Genomic DNA, 18,996 nt, shown 5'->3' on the forward strand with positions numbered 1-18,996 from the left:
GGAGGATTTTTATGAATTATGATTTCCTTTATTTCTGTCCATAATTTTGTGCTTTTGCTATACCAGGATTTTAGTCGAGATTCAATGTTATCACCTGCCTTGAAGTCTTGTCTCTTGACAAATTTGCATAATTCTGTGTTGTATTAATTATCTAGTGCTGCATAACGAATCACTCCCAAACCTTGTGGCTTACAACCACAGTCATCACTGATGATCTTTTACAGTTTCTGTGGGTCAGGATTCCAGGGGTGGCGCCACCAGGCACTTCTGCCTTGGGGTTTCTCTCGGAGTTGGAGTTGGACATCAGCTGGGGCTGGAGTCACCTGCAGGCTGGCCTGGGGTCGGGCAGGGGGATCTGCTTCCAAGGCTCTGCTTCAGAGGCGGCTCCCTCCCACGGTAGGCGCATGGTTTCCTGTCTCCAAAGTGGGCCTCTGCACAAGGCTGCTTGGATGACCTCATGATATGGTGGCTGCTGACCAGGGTAGAGGCTGGAACCCCTTGGATGGCCCAACCTGGGAGGTACTAGCCATGCCTCTGCCATTGGGCCCGGCCACACAGGTTCCTGCCCTCTTCTCCGCTGCCCTTGTGCCTCCCGTGTCCTCGCTGCGTCCTAACCAAATGCTGGACTGGCAGAGACTGAAAACGCCCCACGGGGCCCCTGTGGCTTGCTCACTCGGGCTCTCCGGAGAGTGGGTGCCAACCCCCTGCGCCCTGAGCATCTTGGCTCTGCTTGGCTTGCAGCTGGATCCCCTTTTTGGACTTTGGGGCTGCACACGCACCTTGTTCTGGAGCGAATGGGCTCGTGAGAGCCGCAGGCCCTGAGGCATGGCCTAACTCAGGCAGAGTAGTTGGCGAAGGCCCCAGAGGGACCCAGGCTATCGTCCTGCAGCTGCCGGCGAGTGGGCTGGGCTGGTGGCGTCCTCAGTGCTCTCCCTGGGATGGGCTGTGGACCCCAGCAGGCGGGGTTTGATGCACGCTGCAACCTTGTCCAGCCACAGCCCAAGGAAGGGCGCTGAATTGAACGTGGGGTAAAACAGTATTTATGGCTGTTGATTCTGCTGGGCCTGTTCTCAGTGCTTCATAAGTGTATTAGCTCATTCAGCCCTCAAACAGCCCCTAAGGGGTAGAGACCATTATTATACCCATTTTATGGATGAGGAAACTGAGGCCCAGAAAAGCTGAGGCTGCACAGCTAGGAAATGCTGGAGCTGGGCTTTAATCTCAGGCCGTCTGGCTCCAGCATCCATGCTTTTATCCGCTCCACCACGTCTCCCTCCTGCCCACATGTCCTCAGGCCCATCTCTTTGCCTTTCTGGGCCTCAGTTTCCTCTTGTGAGTAAGATGGGGGCGGGGAGGGAGGCAGGCTGCATGGCCTCCACAGTCCCTCCCAGCAATTAAATGCATGCCCGTGGCTGTGGCATGCGTGAGGACAGCTGCCTGCCAGCCTTCAGAGGCCAGTTGTTCAGCTTTCAAGATGCCCCCGGCCCAGGAGAAGGCCCGGCGGGTCGGGAGGCCGGGAGAATTGAGAATCTGCCCGGCGGGTCGTGCTTTAGCTGTCGCTGTAGGGCGACTCTTGGCGTGTAATCACAGCATGTGGCGCGAGGACAAAGAACATGACAGCAGAGAAGGATCAGACAGGGAGAAGGCGGGAGAGGGCAGAGCAGGCCGAGGGAAAGAGAGAGAGGTCTCCCGGCGGGGGCCGGGCGCGAGAGCCTCTGCTTCCATCTGCTCGGCGAGGACTCTGGGAGGTGCCAGGTGAGACCTGCCTCCCTGCCCTGCGCTCAGCCTCTGTCCCAGAAACCTGAGCTCCAAGCGGCACAAACTCCCCAGGCCCCCAGGACTCTGTTATTACAGCACAAAGCCCTGGATTTTCATGTCCACCAATTAAGGGATTTGCTGGGTTGACGATTCTCGGGAACTCGGTGCAGATGCTGTATTCGAGCCAGCGAGGGGGTGGTGAGAACCTGCTAACTGGATATTAAACGCCCGCTGCTGGGAGAGTCGTGGTCCACAGTAGGATGTGATCGTTCAGGCTGGAGGGATCGTGGGGAAAATGGTGGCTCATGGAATACTAAGGGGAAGGCTGTCAGGTGCGGGCGGGGCTGGCACACACAGCTCACCTTCAGCTGAGGAAGCTGCCTGCTCCGCTGCCGTCCTGGCAGTCAGTGACAGGTATTGCTGAGATGTCAGCTCAAGGGTGTCTGGGTTCTTTTTTGGTATTAGAGTAGGTCTGTAATCACAGACCAGAATTTGAACTTAAAAATTAATAAACCTAGAGGGGACAATGGAAATAGAAAATCGCCGCTTACAAATAGCACTGTGGTCATCGTTTCAGGCAAAACCATCAACGGATGCTGACATCAGCGAGCAAAAGTGTGATGAAGAACGGCGATTTGCATCGTTTCAAAGTATCTCTCCATGAGATACTTACTAATTTCAAAGGGGACAATGGCCAGGTGAAGCCTGGCAGATGTCACTTACACTGAGTGATCCATGTTGCCATCTCCAGGGTGACACGGTGTGCCTGTGACATGAAGCGCCAAGGGGAACCCAATGTCATTTCTGGGGTTCTTCCTGCCCCAAACAGTCCATTTGGTTAAACTCACGAGAGTGTGTGCTTGTCGATGTAGCTGATTCTGTATGGGTGGGGATTTGGACCAGCCCTTCACTACTCAAAGTGGGGTCTGTACACCAGCAGCAGGGTTACCTCCTTAACCCCGAGCTTGTAAGAAAGCACAGCCAAGCATGGTGGCTCATGTTTGTAATCCTAGCACTTTGGGAGGCTGAGGTGGGTGGATCATCTGAGGTCAGGAGTTTGAGACCAGCCTGGCCAACATGATGAAACCCCGTTTCTACTAAAAATACAAAAATTAGCCAGGCGTGGTGATGGGTGCCTGTAATCCCAGCTACGTGGGAGGCTGAGGCAGGAGAATCACTTGAACCCAGAAGGTGCAGGTTGCAGTGAGCTGAGATCGTGCCACTGCACTCCAGCCTGGGCGACAAGAGCGAAACTCTGTCTCAAAAAAAAAAAAAAAAAAGAAAGAAAGAAAGAAAGAAATTAAGAGTCTCGGGCCCTGCCCCAGACCTAGAATCAGGACCTGCATGTTAACAAACCCCACATCTGTGATCCCTGTCCACAGTAAAGGCTGAGAATGCTTAATCCAAAACACCTTCCGCCTCCCAGAGCTTGTGGCTTTGATGCCATTTGTCTGAACATCACAAGGAACCACGTGGGAAAACAGGACTTCGTGGCGTGCCCTGGCAGACAAGCCAAAGCAACTGTGGGCATCAGGCTGTGGGGGTGAGTGAGGCCCACTATCTTGGGCACTGGGCGGTCCCCCAGAAAAGATGGAGGGGCTGGTGTCTGGGCCTGGCACAGGGCGGGATGTCCCCTCATCTGGCCTGCAGCCCCTCCCCGGTCCCGAGCTGCTGAGTTTACAGCCCAGGGCGCATGTGTGCCTCTTGCCCAGCCAGGAGGTCAGCAGACTGGGCGGTGATGAACAAGTGCCAGCAAAGGGCCCCGTGCTCCGAGCATGTTAGCGGGAGGAGGACACAGTGGCCACTTGATATTTTCCAATACGGGGTTCAGGCGGGTCGGCCCACGGGCTGGCAGAGGCTCTCCGTGTCCTTGCCAAGTGACTCATTCCAGATGGGAACATTTATTCGAGGGAATGTATGACAACTCAGCTGTGACAAATAAAAAGGGGGTGTCTGTGTCTTTGTGCCCGGCTGGTGCCTCATCTCCCCTCAAATTGCTGCCGCAGTCCGTGTTACTGAATCAAGGACTTGGTGAGCCTGGTGTCCGTTCAAAGGATGGTCTTCCAAATGTCCGTTCCCACATGGGGAGACTTCCATGTTAACAATAGGTTATTGTAGTGCGGCTGGCCCGGAGGACTGGGGACTGTGAAAATAAATTAAGAGTGGGCCGGTCGGAGCTGCAACAGTCATCGTGGGCAGCTCTTGGGCTTGCCAGAAATTATTTGGCGCTGCGGTTTACGCATCTATTAGTCCAATTGCCCAACAGCTTCAGACTGGGTTGGGATTTTTTTTTTTTTTTTGAAAGATGAAAGATTTGGGGGCTGTTTGAACATCTGCTCTGGTATCACTTGGGAAGTTTAAAGTCAGACGAGTTCGTATGATCAGCGAGTGGGATGTTTTCTTCCCTGTGTAGGGATTAAAAACAAAATAGTGAGAAAACGCAGTTTTTTTCGTTGTCCCATAGTATGGGCTCCGTGGGCTAGGGCCGGGTCGGAAGCAGCTCTGGTGGAAGAGAAGCCTTTGCAAAATGTGCTTCCACCCTGGAAAGCGTCGGGGGCCGCGGGCTCCAGCGGGTCACTCTGCCCGCCCCGGGTGCCGCCCGCCACAGCTGGACTCTTGTTTCTCCAGCGCCTCTGGCCTCCCTGCCTGTCTCCGGGGACGGGGACTGAGCTGGCGGCGGCAGATGAGTGTTCTGCGGTGTCACTGAGAACTCTGGCTCATGCACGAGGCCAGCTGGAGGCGAGTGCCGGGGTCTGTTTGAGACAGATGGCTCTGTCAGATCTGGCTCCTGGAAACTGTGCAAGACGTGCACCACTTGGTGGGGCTTGGAGGCCTGAGCTCCCAGGGTGGCCTTTCGGGCTGACGCATGGGGCCGGAGCAAGCTGGGGAGTGGGGGACTTGCTGCCTGCCCATCCCCCTGCACCAGCCACCCCAGGGTTTTGTGGGACCTCATGGGAGACCTCAAAGTGAAACAGCCGTGCATGTCCCTACGGTGACTGACAAGGCAGTAATGATCCACCCACACCCCCGCCTCTGGCTTCATCTCCTCCACGCACCCGCTCTGTTCTGCCCCTGCTGGCCTTCTTGCTGTTCCTTGATTGCACCAGCCACGCCGCTGCCTCAGGGCCTTTGTACCCGCTGCCCCCTCTGCCTGGAATGCTTTCCTCCTGATTTCCACACGGCTCCTCCCTCGCTTCCTTCGGCCTTTCCATATTGGTCACTTTCTCTGTGGGGTCTTTCCTGACCACCCTTTCTAAAACTCCAGCCCCAGACTTGACAGTCCTGACCACACCCCCCGATGCCATTTTCCTCCTTGGCATGTGTTACCAGCACTGGCTGGTGAGTTACTTACTGACCTTGTACCTCTTGTCTCCTGCCCTCACCCCTGCTGAAGCCTAAAGGAGCCGCAGGAGCTCCATGGCTGGTCTGTTTTGTTCACAGCGGCATCCCTAGGACTCAGAATAATGCCTGCGCACAGTAGGCACGGAAGTATTTGTGGAAGGAAGAAATGGAGATCATCATGAAATAAGCGCTATTGGCCGGGCACGGTGGCTCACGCCTGTAATCCCAGCACTTCGGGAGGCCGAGGTAGGCGGATCACCTGAGGTTAGGAGTTCGAGACCAGCCTGGCCAACATGATGAAACCTTATCTCTACTAAAAATATAAAAATTAGCTTGATGTGGTGGCGTGCACCTGTAATCCCAGCTACTCGGGAGGCTGAGGCAGGAGAGTCGTTTGACCCCGGGAGGCGGAGGTTGCAGTGAGCTGAGATCACGCCATTGCACTCCAGCCTGGGTGACAGAGCAAGAATCTGACCCAAAAAAAAAGAAAAGAAAAGAAATAAGTACTCTCAGCCCCCCTACGCACTTTGACATTTAAAAAATAATTAGAGAGGCACTGACCCTGAAGTCACTCTGGGGTGCCAGAGCTGGAGGAACTCGTAGGACAATACAGCCAACCTGGGCAGATGGGCAAAGAGACCCAGGGCATAGAAGCCACCTGCCCAGGGCGGTGCAGTTAATTGGAAGCAGAGCTGCCTCTTAGCCTGGGCTGACCCATGGGGGCACTGGGGAGGTGGAATGTGACAACCTGTTGAGAGCCCGCTGTGTGTGGCAGTGCCATGCCCAGCTGGGGTCAGAAAAGTTTCAAAGAAGCCTCTGATCTGAAGGAGCCTCCCTTCTGTGGGGAGACACCCCTGCCACTGAGGACAGCAGAGGTCAGGATGCAGTCTATTCTGTCCTGGGGGCTGGGGTGCATAGAGGAAGAAGCAAAACTCACATGGGGTCCAGGCAGGCTTCCTGGGAGAGGCGGCATTTGTGCTGGGTCATTGGAATCTGGGGGTGGGGGGCATTTCAGCCCCAGCAAATCTTGGAGGTGGGGAGGGTGGAGCTGTCAGCATCTGCAGGAGGCACCCACCCTGAGAGAGAGGGAGTGGGGGTAAAATTCAGTCCCCTCTTTGCCAACTGAGACAGGAGGCCCAGCCTGGGCTCTATGGGCCTGAGAAATGGTGTGCCTAGCACTAGGACACTGCAGGGAGGGGAGGTCAGCGAGAAAACAATGGTGTCAGGCTCTCCTGAGCCTCGGCCACCTTCCTCACCTCCACCTGCCAGGTCTGTGGGGCAGCAGCTCTCACCACCTACCTCTGAATGATCAGATCCTGGGCTCAAGGTTCATTTTATCTTCAAATAATCTTTGGCACAGCCCTGAGTTTCCGGCAGGGTGTCACCTTGACCCCTTCTGCTTGCAAAGCTCATATACAAACAGGCATGACCTGCTACATGGGAGGGTCCCTGGAGTCCTCCCTGCAGTCCCAGAGGCTCTTGTGAGTTCATCCTCCCGCCATTGGCCTCCCCTCCAATGCTGGGGTTTTTTCCCAGGCCCGAGAGGCTGGCTTTGTCAGTGAAAGAAGCAGCTGCCCCACAAGGACTCACCTGTACTGTGGCCACCCGTGTCCAGCTCAGCTCCCCTGCCCCTGACACACTCGTGTCCAGGCCTTGCTTCGTGTCCCCTAAGTGACACATATGTGGTGCCAGGCCTCTCAAACCAATGTGTGTGAACCCTCTGGGAGCCTTGTGGAAATGCCGTTTCCCATTCTGCAGGTCTGGGATGAGGCCTAGGACTCTGCATTCTCACTGGCTCCCAGGGAAGGCCAATGTGCTGGGCCACAGACCACACTTTGAGAACCATGGAGCTGGACCGTCTGCAGCCTGGCTTAGGGGCTTAGGGTAAGCAACGGGGTGGTGGTGGGATACAGGAGGGTGCAGAGGACGGGGTAGAGTAGGCAACTCACGTTTGCTGGTGAAGGACATGGCAAGGTCCTGGGGCAGTCGCCCGATGAGGAACCCAGGCCGGGCTGGTCTTTGTCCCTCAACTGGTTCAGCCTCTGGCTCACAGGCTGGGGGGCTCCTTCATGTTGGGGCGGGGATGAAAACCACGGTTTTACTCAGAAAGAAGCCCCTGGTAGAGCTTCTGAGCATGTGTGTGCCTGACCTCTCTTTGGAATTCAGATTCATTAGATCTGGCTGGAGCCCAGGAATTTGCATTTTTTAACAAGCGTGTCCTTGCGGGTGATGGGGGCAGGTGGGTGTTAAGAAGGCCGGGGAGCAGAGGTCTTGGGTGCAGAACCCAGCGGGGAAGTGAGACGATGCCTCTTCCCCTCCCAGAGTCGCCGCTTGGGTTTTCTTTGGTGAAGGGGAGAAGTGGTTTGGATGCCAGTTATTGGACAGTCAGTCACTTCCCTGCGTGGGAAGGGTCGTCCCCTTTGTGGCACTCCTGAGGGCAGCCTTCCTGCCCCTGGCCAAGGCCCCGCCCGCACTTCCCTGCACAGGCCTGCCCTGCCTCAGCAGACCCGGGCCCCTGCCATCTTCTCATCACAAGGCCATGTCCACGTCACCCCCAGGCCCCCAACCTGGAGTGCGGCAGCCTTCAAGGATCCCTCCCCATGACCTCCAGTGAGCTCCGTTCCATTGGGTACTGATCCCATCAAATGACATGTAAGCAGTTCTCTTTCTGCAACCTCGATAGACACTAGGCCTCTAGGGGGCAAGGAGCATGCCTTAAACCCTCCGTCACTTGCTTGGCCTTCTGTGTGTTCATTCCACAGCTGCCCTGTGCAGTTGTGCAGATTACACACTGCCCAAGGACCAAGGACGCAGACCAAAATCCAGGCCACACAGCACACACCATGCCAGGTGTTCTGGAGCAAGGGAGCACCTTTTTCCAACATACACCGCTGTTTGTAATAATCTGTAATAATAACTAACTCTTCATAGAGCCTTTGTTGTCACCGAGACACACAAAGATAGGAGATGGCCACCCACGAGCTGTCCGGTAGATTCTGAGTTGTTTCACCTTGTCATGCTGACCAGATGGCCGGCCAGTGCCATGTCCTGCATTCTCTCCTGCTCCTCAGCCTCACCAGCTCGTGCAGTCCCCTCGTCCCTGAGCAGGCCAGTGTGGGAGCCCCACCCAGCCTCCCCTGAGAGCAAGCAGTTGGGGAGTGTCTGCCGGGTCCCCAAGCAGGGAGCAGGGAAGTGCCCGTTCTCAGTGTCAGAGCCGTAGCAGACAGACATGGGAGGGGGCTGCAGGCCTGGAATAATCACGAGAACAGCAAAGCCTGATTCAGGCAGACACTGTCCACACATGTGACATCCAGCATTTCATGGAATCCTTACAGCAGCCCTGGGAGGTTGGCACTGTCATTATCCCCATTTTACAGAAGGGGAAACTGAGGCATGTAGTGGGTATGTCCCTCACCCAGGGTCTCTCAGCAGAGCTGGACACCAGGCTGCAGATCCAAGCTGAGGTCTCCTGATCACCTTGAGCCTGCTCAGAGCTTGAGTAGGAGCCAGGCGTCCCTCCTCACCCTCCTCCTCCCTGTCCCAAGGGTGGCACCAGCCCCCCTGGGCAGCCCGCTCTGCAGAAGGGCGCCTTTGTGCCCATCTGGCTTGTGCTGGATTTTTTCCTTCCTGAATCCAGCAGCATTTTCTGGATCCTTCTCTTCCACTGGACCTGCTACCACCCTCGGAGGGGACGCCGCCCTCCCCAGCCTCCTCCCCCGGCCCCCGCGTGAGCCCTGGTGTCCCATGGGGTCGAATAAAGGGCTGTCGGCCCTGGCAGGGCAGACTTCCCCACAGGGCTCAGGGCCGGCTTGTGCGCAGTGTGTGGCCACCGCCTGGTAAGGAGGCTGGGCCTCGTCCCCGCCCTTTTCCGCCCGGCCAGCCGCAGCTGCTGACAGAGCCCAGCTGGGCCCCTGACCCCGGGGAGACCCTCCCTACACTGCCCTCACCCTGTGGGGGTTAGGGGTGAAGGTCAGGCTGGGGGCAGAGGCCCAGAGGCCAGAGGCCACCTCCCAGGCCTCTCCGTGGGGCCCATAACCTCCTGGTTGTCTGCCTTCCTCCCCATCCCCCCGCCAGCACAAAACACTCGTCCCTCTCACCACAAAGGGCCCTTATTTCCCTCCTGCTTTTATTAGAGCCGGCTTTGGGTTGACCGGGTCAGGCTATGGGGACTTACATAGAAATAAGGCAGCCCTGCCCTTGACCCTGGGAGCCCCGTAAAGGAGGCAGAGAGGTGATCAGGAAATCCACCCTCAGCATGGGAGGTGCCGCCCCCCATATTCCCAGCTACTTGCTGTGCAGCTTTGGGCACATTGCTTAACCTCTCTGGGCTTTGGTTAATTTGTTGTAACTGAAGGTGAAATTCACACAAAAGAATGAACCTTTTTTTTTTTTTTTTGAGGCAGGGTCTCACTGTCACCCAGGCTGGAGTGCAGTGGCGCAATCTTGGCTCACTGCATCCTCCGCCTCCTGGGTTAAAGCAATTCTCATACCTCAGCCTCTCTAGTAGCGAGGACTACAGGTGCACGCCACCATGCCCAGCTAATTTTTGTTGTTTTTTTGTTTTTGTTTTTTTTTTTTGTTTTCTGAGACAGAGTCTTGCTCTGTCAACAGGCTGGAGTGCAGTGGCGCGATCTTGGCTCACTGCAACCTCCGCCTCCCGGGTTCAAGCGATTCTCCTGCCTCAGCCTCCCGAGTAGCTGGGATTACAAGCACGTGCCACCACGTCCAGCTAATTTTTGTATTTTTAGTAGAGATGGGGTTTCACCATGTTGGCCAGGATGGTCTCGATCTTGTGACCTTGTGATCCACCTGCCTCGGCCCCCCAAAGTGCTGGGATTACAGGCCGGAGCCACTGTGCCTGGCCTAATTTTTGTATCTTTAGAGATGGGGTTTCGACATATTGGCCAGGCTGGTCTCAAACTCGTGATCTCAGGTGATCCACCTGCCTCGACCTCCCAAAGTGCTGGGATTACAGGTGTGAGCCACTGCGCCCGGCCAGAATGAACCACTGGTAAGTGTACAGTTCGGGGGCATTTCACACATTCACGACAGTGCACACCCGTCACCTCTGTGTGGTCCCAGAACATTCCATTGTCTGTGAAACAGGGACAATGCTAGACATTACCTCTTGTGATGAATAGCTGTGTGTGCACGCAAATTAAATTGCTTTATTTTTTATTGGCTTTATGGAGGAATATTATACATACAATACAAGCCACATGTTTTAAGTGTCCGTTTTGAAGAGTTTTGACAAGCGTGTACGGTTGTGTGGCCATCACCACCGCCACCGTGTTGCTGAACACCTCCCTCTCTCCGCAGTGTTCCACCGATCCCCCATGGTCAGGCCCCTCTCCCCAGCCCAGCCCCTGAGAGTCACGGATCGGCTTTTGTCCCCCCATCGCTGTACTTTTTCTGTTAGTGATTGGATGAGTGATAGGCCTGTGGTAGTGTCCCGTGTCCTGTTAGTGTCCTGTAACAAATCACCACAAAAGTGGTGGCTTGGCCTGGCACGGTGGCTCACACCTATAATCCCAGCCCTCTGGGAGGCCGAGGCGGGTGCATCACTTGAACTCAGGAGTTTGAGACCAGCCTGGTCAACATGGTGAAACCCTGTCCCTGCTAAAAATACAAAAATCAGCTGGGCGTGGTGGTGTGTGCCCGTAATCCCAGCAACTCGGGAGGCTGAGGCAGGAGAATCGCTTGAACCCGGGAGGTGGAGGTTACAGTGAGCTGAGATTGAGCCCCTGCATTCCAGCCCAGGGGATAGAGTGAGTGAGATTCCATTTCAAAAAAAAATTTTTTTTAAAAAGTAGCTTGAAACAGTAGAAATGTATTCTCTCACAGTTCTGGAGATCCGAAGTCCGGAATCAGGGTGTCAGCGGGACGGCTTCCTTCTGCTGGAGCTAGAGTGGGAATCTGTCCGGGCCTTTCTTCCAGTTTCTGGCATTGCCCACAGTCCTTGGGGTTCCTTGGCTCCTAGAAGCCATCTCTCCGATCACTGAACTTCATCGCTGTGATCGCTGCCTCTGCCATCATGTGACCTTCTCTGTGTGTCTTCACGCGGCCTTCTACGGAGGACACCAGTCTTTGGATGGGGACCCACCTTAACCCAGCATGACCTCATCTGGTCATAATTACATCTCAAAGACCCACTTTCCAAAGGAGGTCATGTGCTGAGTCTGTGGTGGACCTGAAGTCTCGGGAGCAATGCCAACCCAGCATGATGCCTCCCCATGCTTCGAGGCGCCCTCTGTGCAATGGGGATGGCAGCAGTGATGCCTCCTCCCCGGCCGCTGGTGAAATGAGAAAACACCGGCAAAGACTCCAGAGCATAGCCTGGCTCCCCGCAACAGCCAAGCCAGGTGGCCTGTTCCAGCTGGCATCTCTCCAGCTGCAGATGAGATCCCCGGGGTCCCTTCTGCCTCCTTCCCTCCACCCCAGAGCAGCCCACTCTTGAAAACCTGATGCTTCCTTTAGACTTTCAGGGCATATGGCTCCAGTCAGAGTCCACCTCTGGTTTTGTTTTGCCTGTTGGTAAACCCTGGATAAATGGTCACATGGAACCTGTACCCTCTGGAGTCTGCGCTTAAAGTGTGAGGTTTACTCTGAGTGACTCGTGCAGGCCCTGCTGGCCCTTGTCCCAGCTGCGTGGTGTTCCATGGGTGACATTTGTTCGTTCGTGTTCCGTCAATGGAGGGAGGTTGGTTCCAGGTTCTGCTATTACAGATGCTGCCCAGGCTGTTCTTTTGCCTCATGTTGGTGCCTGACAGTTTCTCAACAGTGTGGGGCTGAATTTCAGGGTTACAGGCTGGGGTCACATTCAGCCTTCCTGGATCTTGCCAGCACGCCTCTCACTCTCTCTCTCTCTCTCTCTCTCTCTCTCTCTCTCTCTCTCTGTCTCTCTCTCTCCCCCCCCTTCCCTCCCTCCCCACCCCCCACCAAAACCCTAGTCTCTCCATGATCTCTCCAGCATGGGTGCTTCAGGGTAATTGGGATCCTTGCACAGAAGTCCAGGGACCCCAAGGTGCAAGTCCAAAGAGAGAAGGGGTGGGGATCTCTTGTGAATTGAGGTTAATAACAGAATTTACCATTTGAAAGTGTACAGTTTAGTGACATTTTGTACGTTCACAGTATTTTGGGTTTTTTAGTTTTTGTTTTTTTACATTTTTGCAGAGACGGGGTCTCACTATGTTGCCCAGGCTGGTCTCGAACGTCTCACCTCAAACCATCCTCCTGCCTAGGCCTCCCAAGGTTCTAGGATTACAGATGGGAGCTACCTCTCCACCAAATCACCTCCTAAAAGCACCACCTCCTAATACCATCACCTCGAGGGTTCGGGTTTCAACCTGAATTTGAGGGAGATACATTCAGTGCATAGCATCACCCCAAAAGGAAACCCCACACTCACCCAGCGGTTACTCCATGCCCCGCTTCCCAGGGCCTCCGCACACACCGGTCCACCTTCTGCCTGAGGATGGCCTGTGCTGGGCATTTCCTGGGAATGGAATCCTGCAGTACAAGCTCTTTTGTGGCTTCTCTCACTCGGGACCAGCCTGGGGCGAAACCCTGTCTCTACTAAAAATACAAACAAATCAGTTTTCAAGGTTCACGCGTGCTGCAGCGCGGGTCAGCACATCAGCCCTTTTATGGCTGAGTGATTATTCCACCGTGCGCGTAGACCGCGTCCTTTTTGCCCATCCACCGCCGATGGCCGTTTGGGCTGTCTCCACCTTTCGGCTGCTGTCACGTCCATGCAGAAGGTCTTGTGTGAAGCCTCATGGCCTTTTATGACTTAGCCGTGGAAGTTACAGGGCTGTGTCACTTCTGTTGCACTCTCGATGTCAGGAGTGAGCCTGTGCTGGTCTAAGTCAAGGGGAGGAGAATTAGAGTCCCCTCTTGCTGGGGCTGTCAAAGAATTTGTGGACACGATTCAGGACCATCACAGCAACACTGGTAGAAAACACACATCGATCCTTTTTCCCATGGACAACTGGCTAATTCGTAACTTTTTTTTTTTTTTTTTGTAGAGATGGGGTCTCTCTGTGTTGCCCAGGCTGATCTGGAACTCCTGGGCTCAAGTGATCCTCCCACCTTGGCCTCCCAAAGTGCTGGGACTACAGGTGTGAGCCACCGCACCCAGCCTAACTTGGGACTTTAATGGTCCCTTGCTTTGGGCCCTTATTTGTAAAAGGAAGGGCGACCGTCACTGCTGCACTGCAATCCAGCCTTTTGGAGCACCCATCCAGGAAGCCGGCACCACAGCTCTCCTCGGAGCCAGTTTGGATCAGCTTTGCAGGCTGAGAACCAGGAGGCCGGCTTGGGAAATGTAGGGATGAAAGCTGTTTCAAGGCTGAGGGGGGATGTGGGAGCGGAGAGGAGGTGATTTCTGAACTGCACAAGGTACGAAAGGCACGCTAGGGAAGGGGACAGCCTGTGCGAACACTGCCCGTCCCTCCCCGTGGCCAGTCTCTAACCACCTCCCACGCACGGCTCATCATGTGTGAGCACGGACACCCAGGCACAAAGCGGGGTCAGGTAGTTTCATTAAAACAAAACAAAGGGCCGGGTGCAGTGGCTCCCGCCTATAATCCCAGCACTTTGGGAGGCCGAGCTGGGTGGACTGCCTGAGCTCAGGAGTTCAAGATCAGCCTGGGCAACATGGTGAAACCCCGACTCTGCTAAAATACAAAAAAAATTAGCCGGATGTGGTGGTGCACACCTGTAATCCCAGCTACTCGGGATGCTGAGGCACTAGAATCGTTTGAGCCCAGGAGGTGGAGGTTGCAGTGAGCCAAGATCGCACCACTGCACTCCAGCCGGAGTGACAGAGCAAGATTCCTTCTCCAAACAAACAAAAACCAAAAACAAACAAACAAAAAGTGTGCAGCATGAACCCATTTCTGAGCGCCCTTCAACTTCTTCCTCTGTGCAAACGACCTGGGCTAACGCTGACTGTGCACCGATTCTTTCAGAGCCTTGGCTTCCCTCCCTTTCATGTCCTAACTCCTTCCATTCTTACAGAGACCCTGGGAGGAAGGGACTGTCACTTGCTGCATGTAACAGTCGGGGAGACTGAGGCATGGGCCAGTCCACAGCTTGCCTGGAGTCTTGCAGTCTGTGAGGGCGGGGGTGGGGTCTGAACCCAGGGGGTCTGTCGGCACGCCCAGGCTGCTCCCCCGGCGCTTCCCCGGCCAGTGCCCGATCTTTCCTCCTTTGACCTCACTCTGTGCCTGCTGGGTGTGGACTGCATCTTTATTGACTTATGGGGCTTGGGAAGTCCCAAGCCTTCAGAACAGTGTGGGGCAAGGGGGATTGAGTGGGGAGGTTGGGGGGTGCAGTGATGCCAGTGAATCCTGCTGCCCGCCCTCTACCCGGCCAGGCTGGCACCCTCCAGGGTTGTCAGGAGACGGCGCTTCCTCTTCCCTCCCTCCAGAGGGCGCACTGGAGTTGCTCGGAGCATCTGTACAGAAGCTGGGCCACCAGGTCAGTGGGCGTTGAAAATTGGGGCTCACAGGGCCAGAGGCCTCCCTCAGGCCCACCAGTGAAGTGACTCGCCGAAGGGTAGGGGCAGCAGACGAACTCCAGAGATAGGAACCTTCTTAGCCAGAGAAGCAAAGCATCTGTAAATCCCTTAGACTTTGATCTGAACCCAGATGACGTCTTAGTTTTAGTTTAAGAATTATGACTTCCTATCAGATGGGTTGCCCCTGTCATGAATGTCTAGCTATTGTGTTTTTTTTGTTTTGTTTTGTTTTGAGATTGTGTCTTGCTCTGTCACTCAGACTGGAGTGCAGTGGTGTGATCATGGCTCACTGCAGCCTCCACCTCTCAGGCTCATGTGATCCTCCAGTCTCAGCCTCCCTTGTAGCTGGGTTCACAGGCACATGCCACCCAAAGTGCCTGGCTAATTTTCCTTTTCTTTTTTATCTTTTGTAGACAGGGTCTCACTTTGTTGCCCAGCTGATCTCAAACTCCTGGCCTCAAGGGATCCTCCCACCTTGGCCTCCCAAAGTGCTGGGACTACAGACGTGAGCCACTGCACCTGGCCCTTATCTTTTGAGTTTTATATTTCCTTGTCTCCCTCTGTTGCTGGGATATGAAATCTCCATCGTGGCCTGCAGAACTTATTTTCAGGGTGCCGTGGAACTTGATTTTAGTCCCTGCGTTCCATATGCAGAAATGTGGGGATGAGAGTGGGAAACAGGCCAGTTATCTTGAGCTCAGCTTATTAAGGATTGCCTTCCGTGAAGACAGTTGGAACAGATCACTGAGGGAAAAATGTAAAAGGCTGTAATCTCCATTCTCCAGAGAGGCGAGGACACCCAGAGCTTCTCAAACTGCAACGTGGGACATGTCCAGATCTTATTAGAAAAGCGGATTCGAATTCCGCAGTGCGGGGTGGGGCCTGGGACTCTGTATTTCTGATGAGCTCCCTGGTGATGCAATGCTGCTGTTGGTGCAGGGCCCTCTGAGTCTGAGAGCCTGGCCCCATCCCTCAGCTGCCTCCCTGCCCAGATGTCTCCAAGAGGCAAATTTGACATATCCAAGAAGAAGCGCTTTATCTCCACCTCCTTCTTAAACTGGCCACCTTCCTGAGTCACCCGCTGAGCAGGGCTATCACCACTGTTTGCATAGCCCTGACAGAGACCTCTTAGTATTTTATTTATTATTATTATTGTTATTTTGAGATGGAGTCTCTCTCTCACCCAGGTTGGAGGGCAGTGGCACGATCTCCGCTCACTGCAGCCTCCACCTCCTGGGTTCAAGCAATTCTCCTGCTTCGGCCTCCCAAGTAGCTGGGATTCCAGGTGTGCGCCACCATGCCTGGCTAATTTTTTTGTATGTTTAGAGATGGGGTTTCACCATGTTGGCCAGGTTGTTCTCGAACTCCTGACCTCAAGTGATCCACCTGCCTTGGCCTCCCAAAGTGATGGAATTACAGGCGTGAGCCACTGCACCTGGCCGAGACCTCATAATATTTTTAAAGAAACAGATTCACGCCCTTTGCATGTTAATCTGGGCCAGGACCGCATTGTGAACGTCACAGGTAGGGCAGGGGCACTCCGCTGCAGATGGGCTAGAACTTTCGGGAGTGGGTGTGGGGGAGCATAGGCGTTTATGGGTGTTTATGTCTGTGCTGGTGGACGGGCTTTCTCCTTGGTTGGCAAAGGCAGTCTGTGGCTGTCCCCAGTCACCTGCAGTCGTAGGCACACGGGCCAGCCTGCCTGTCTGGAATGTCCGTCCTCGCTGCTGGAGGACAGGTGTGAGGATGCTTCCTGACATTCGTGACCCTGGTTCCTCTGTGGGGCGTGGCCCTCTGGTCAGTGAATATGTGCAGTGAACATGCAGCATGGTGTTAGGTCAGTCAAATCCCATGTCCGTATGTTTGCACCGTCTTGTCTTTTTCGGGGAAAATACATTTGGGGTTGTCCTGGCAAGTCTAGGCAACATGCTGGCCAAATAATACCTGAGTTGTTAAGGGGCTTGGTCCTAAATGCGCCAGGTGCTGGATCTGGGATGTTGGAATTCCTGTGTCTATTCAGGAACGGGCCGGTCTGCAGGTGACAGGCTAGTGGTGGCAGAGCCAGGGGCAGGACCTGGATTTCTGAGTCCTGGGCTGCCTTCTCTATATCCTCTCCAACCCCCCTGCCAGCCTTCACCTGGCCACAGGGGAATCCAGGGAAGCCACCAAGCCCACTTCTGCCAGTGACCTGCCTGAGGTCGGAGGGAGCGTATCCCTAGCAGGCCTGCCTCTGGGCCTCCAGTGAACTTGTTCTTGCTTTGAGGATTCAAGCCCAGCATGTCACACCTGAGCCCTCTGCCTACTCCGTTCTCTGCAGAAATTAAGCAGTTTTAACTGCAGACTTAAAAATTGCATTCTTTGGCCAGGCAAGGTAGCTCACACCTATAATCCCAGCACTTTGGAAGGTCAAGGCAGCAAGATTGCTTGAGCCCAGGAGTTCAAGACCAGCCTGGGCAACATAGTGGGACTCTGTCTCTATAAAAAATTTTAAAAATAAGAAAAAATTTAGCCAAGTGTGGTGGCATACATAATCACAGCTAATCAGGAGGCAGAGGCAGGAGGATCGCTTGAGCCTGGGAGGTCGAGGCTTCTGTGAGCTCTGATCCCACCACTGCACTCCAGCCTGGGTGACAGAGTGAGACCCTGTCTCAAAAAAAAAAAAAAAACAACCCAACAAAAAAAGCTTTTTAATTGTGTGGAAACATATATAACATACAATTTCCCATGTTAGCTTTTTTTTTTTGAGACACAGTTTTGCTCTTCTAGCCCAGGCTGGAGTGCAATGGCACCATCTCAGCTCACCGTAACCTCTGCCTCCCGGGTTCAAGTGATTCTCCTGCCTCAGCCTCCCGAGTAGCTGGGATTACAGGCACCCGCCACCACACCTGGCTAATTTTTGCATTTTTAGTAGAGACGGGGTTTCTCCATGTTGGTCAGGCTGGTCTCGAACTCCTGACCTCAGGTGATCGTCCCACCTCGGCCTCCCAAAGTGCTGGGATTACAGGCGTGAGCCACTGCGCCCAGCCCATGTTAGCCATTTTTAAGTATACACCTCAGCGACATTGAGTACATTTGCAGTGCCGTACAACTGTCACCGCCGTCTAGTTCCCAAACTTTCTCCTCTTCCCAAACAGAAATTCTGTACCCATTCGGTGTCAGCCCCTGTTCTCCTCCCAGCAGATCCTGTAACCACTCATCCGCTTCCTGTCTCTAAGGAGCTGCCTGTCCGGACATTTCATGTGAATGGACTCACACACACTGCGGCCTTTGGTGTCTGGCTGCTTTCACTCAGCAGCGTCGTCAGGGTCTACTGCGTTGCAGGGGGTGTCAGTGCCTCATTCCTCTCTCGCCGAGGAATAGTCCATGGAGTGGTCCGACCACGTTTTGTGTGTCCTTTCGTCTGCCAGGGTTCCACTTTGGAGCAGCCGCTCTGCACCAGGCATTTTCACCTCCTGCCTCTCGGCTTCCGCTTCCAGTCTCACGCTGTGTGGATGGTGAGGCAGGATTTACAGTCAAGCCAGTTGGCCCCGACCACCCACCTGGCGTGTGGCTGAACTGGGACACACTAGGTAGTTGGACTCACGCCCCATACCTTGAACCCGCCAGCCATCCTGCCTCCCAGAATTTGGGGGGAGTGGGGACTGGGGGCTGGAGAAGGGGAAGACATAGGCAGAGATGCAGTGGGGGTGTGGGATGGCAGCATTCGGCCACAGGGTCCAGTGTGTTCCCTCCTCCAGGGGCCACCTTCCCCCACTACACAGAATTCCCCTGTGGTTGCACCTACCGGCTCTCTAAAGTGGCCCCAAACCTTCCCCAGACCCCCAGGCCTGGTGGGGCGCTCCCTCTCCCATCACATGGCGCCGTGGTGGTCAGTGTCAGGGCGGTTGCCAAGCCCACTGCAGGCATGTTTATGGTTAAACCTCCCAGGTCGAGCCCGTGTTCCATTTTATGAGCCTTTTGGGCCCAGGAAAGTGGTGCCCTTGGTGAATGTTTGCTAAGAACCCAGGCAGCTGGCAGGAGCTGCCTTCACTGGGAGACGTGTCGGATTCATGGGGGTGATTGAGGAAGGCCCTGGAGTGGGTGGTCTCTGGGAGGCGGGTTCCTGGGATGATGGAAGGTTTCCAGGAAACATGATCTCCTGTTAAAAGTCTGCCAGCAGACACAGGCTCCTGCCCTCACCTGTGCAAGCCACACTTGAGATAAAATCCAGTGGCTGCCGGTTGGTGGATGGCAAGCTGCCCTGCATGGGCACCGGAAAGAATCCCGCCAAAGGAAAGTTGCTGGGGCCAGTGTGGGACTTCTCTCCCTGCAGGGTTGATTTTTAAACAGGGACAGTGCTTTCTAATGGACATCTGTCCCTCGTCTCGGCTCTG

General features: G+C 54.8%; 1 protein-coding gene and 1 long non-coding RNA gene across 5 annotated transcripts in view, besides 3 other annotated features; both read left to right on the plus strand.

Moving 5' to 3' along the window:
- The window catches only part of GSE1 (Gse1 coiled-coil protein), a 506,689-nt gene that overhangs the window by 113,151 nt on the left and 374,542 nt on the right, over positions 1-18,996 (plus strand). The gene's annotated exons all lie outside the window — the stretch shown is intronic.
- On the plus strand, positions 296-5,420 carry LINC00311 (long intergenic non-protein coding RNA 311). Its single transcript, NR_038859.1, has 3 exons — positions 296-895; positions 2,336-3,301; positions 5,200-5,420. It is a non-coding gene; the product is annotated as a long intergenic non-protein coding RNA 311 (long non-coding RNA).
- Positions 13,932-14,167: a silencer, noted in NCBI's record as "fragment chr16:85330200-85330435 (GRCh37/hg19 assembly coordinates)". NCBI's record gives its function as "represses an EF-1alpha promoter that drives an FKBP-Casp9 reporter gene in an ReSE screen in K562 erythroleukemia cells {active_cell/tissue: K562}" and the evidence as "EXISTENCE:reporter gene assay evidence [ECO:0000049][PMID:32094911]".
- Positions 14,381-14,675: a silencer, noted in NCBI's record as "tiled region #9478; HepG2 Repressive non-DNase unmatched - State 12:CtcfO". NCBI's record gives its function as "represses a minimal TATA promoter and a strong SV40 promoter by Sharpr-MPRA in HepG2 cells {active_cell/tissue: HepG2}" and the evidence as "EXISTENCE:reporter gene assay evidence [ECO:0000049][PMID:27701403]".
- Positions 14,577-14,626: an enhancer, noted in NCBI's record as "active region_11269". NCBI's record gives its function as "activates an Ori minimal core promoter by ATAC-STARR-seq in GM12878 lymphoblastoid cells {active_cell/tissue: GM12878}" and the evidence as "EXISTENCE:reporter gene assay evidence [ECO:0000049][PMID:35858748]".

The sequence above is a fragment of the Homo sapiens genome, chromosome 16 (assembly GCF_000001405.40).
Source record: "Homo sapiens chromosome 16, GRCh38.p14 Primary Assembly".
Taxonomy (NCBI): Eukaryota; Metazoa; Chordata; class Mammalia; order Primates; family Hominidae; genus Homo; species Homo sapiens.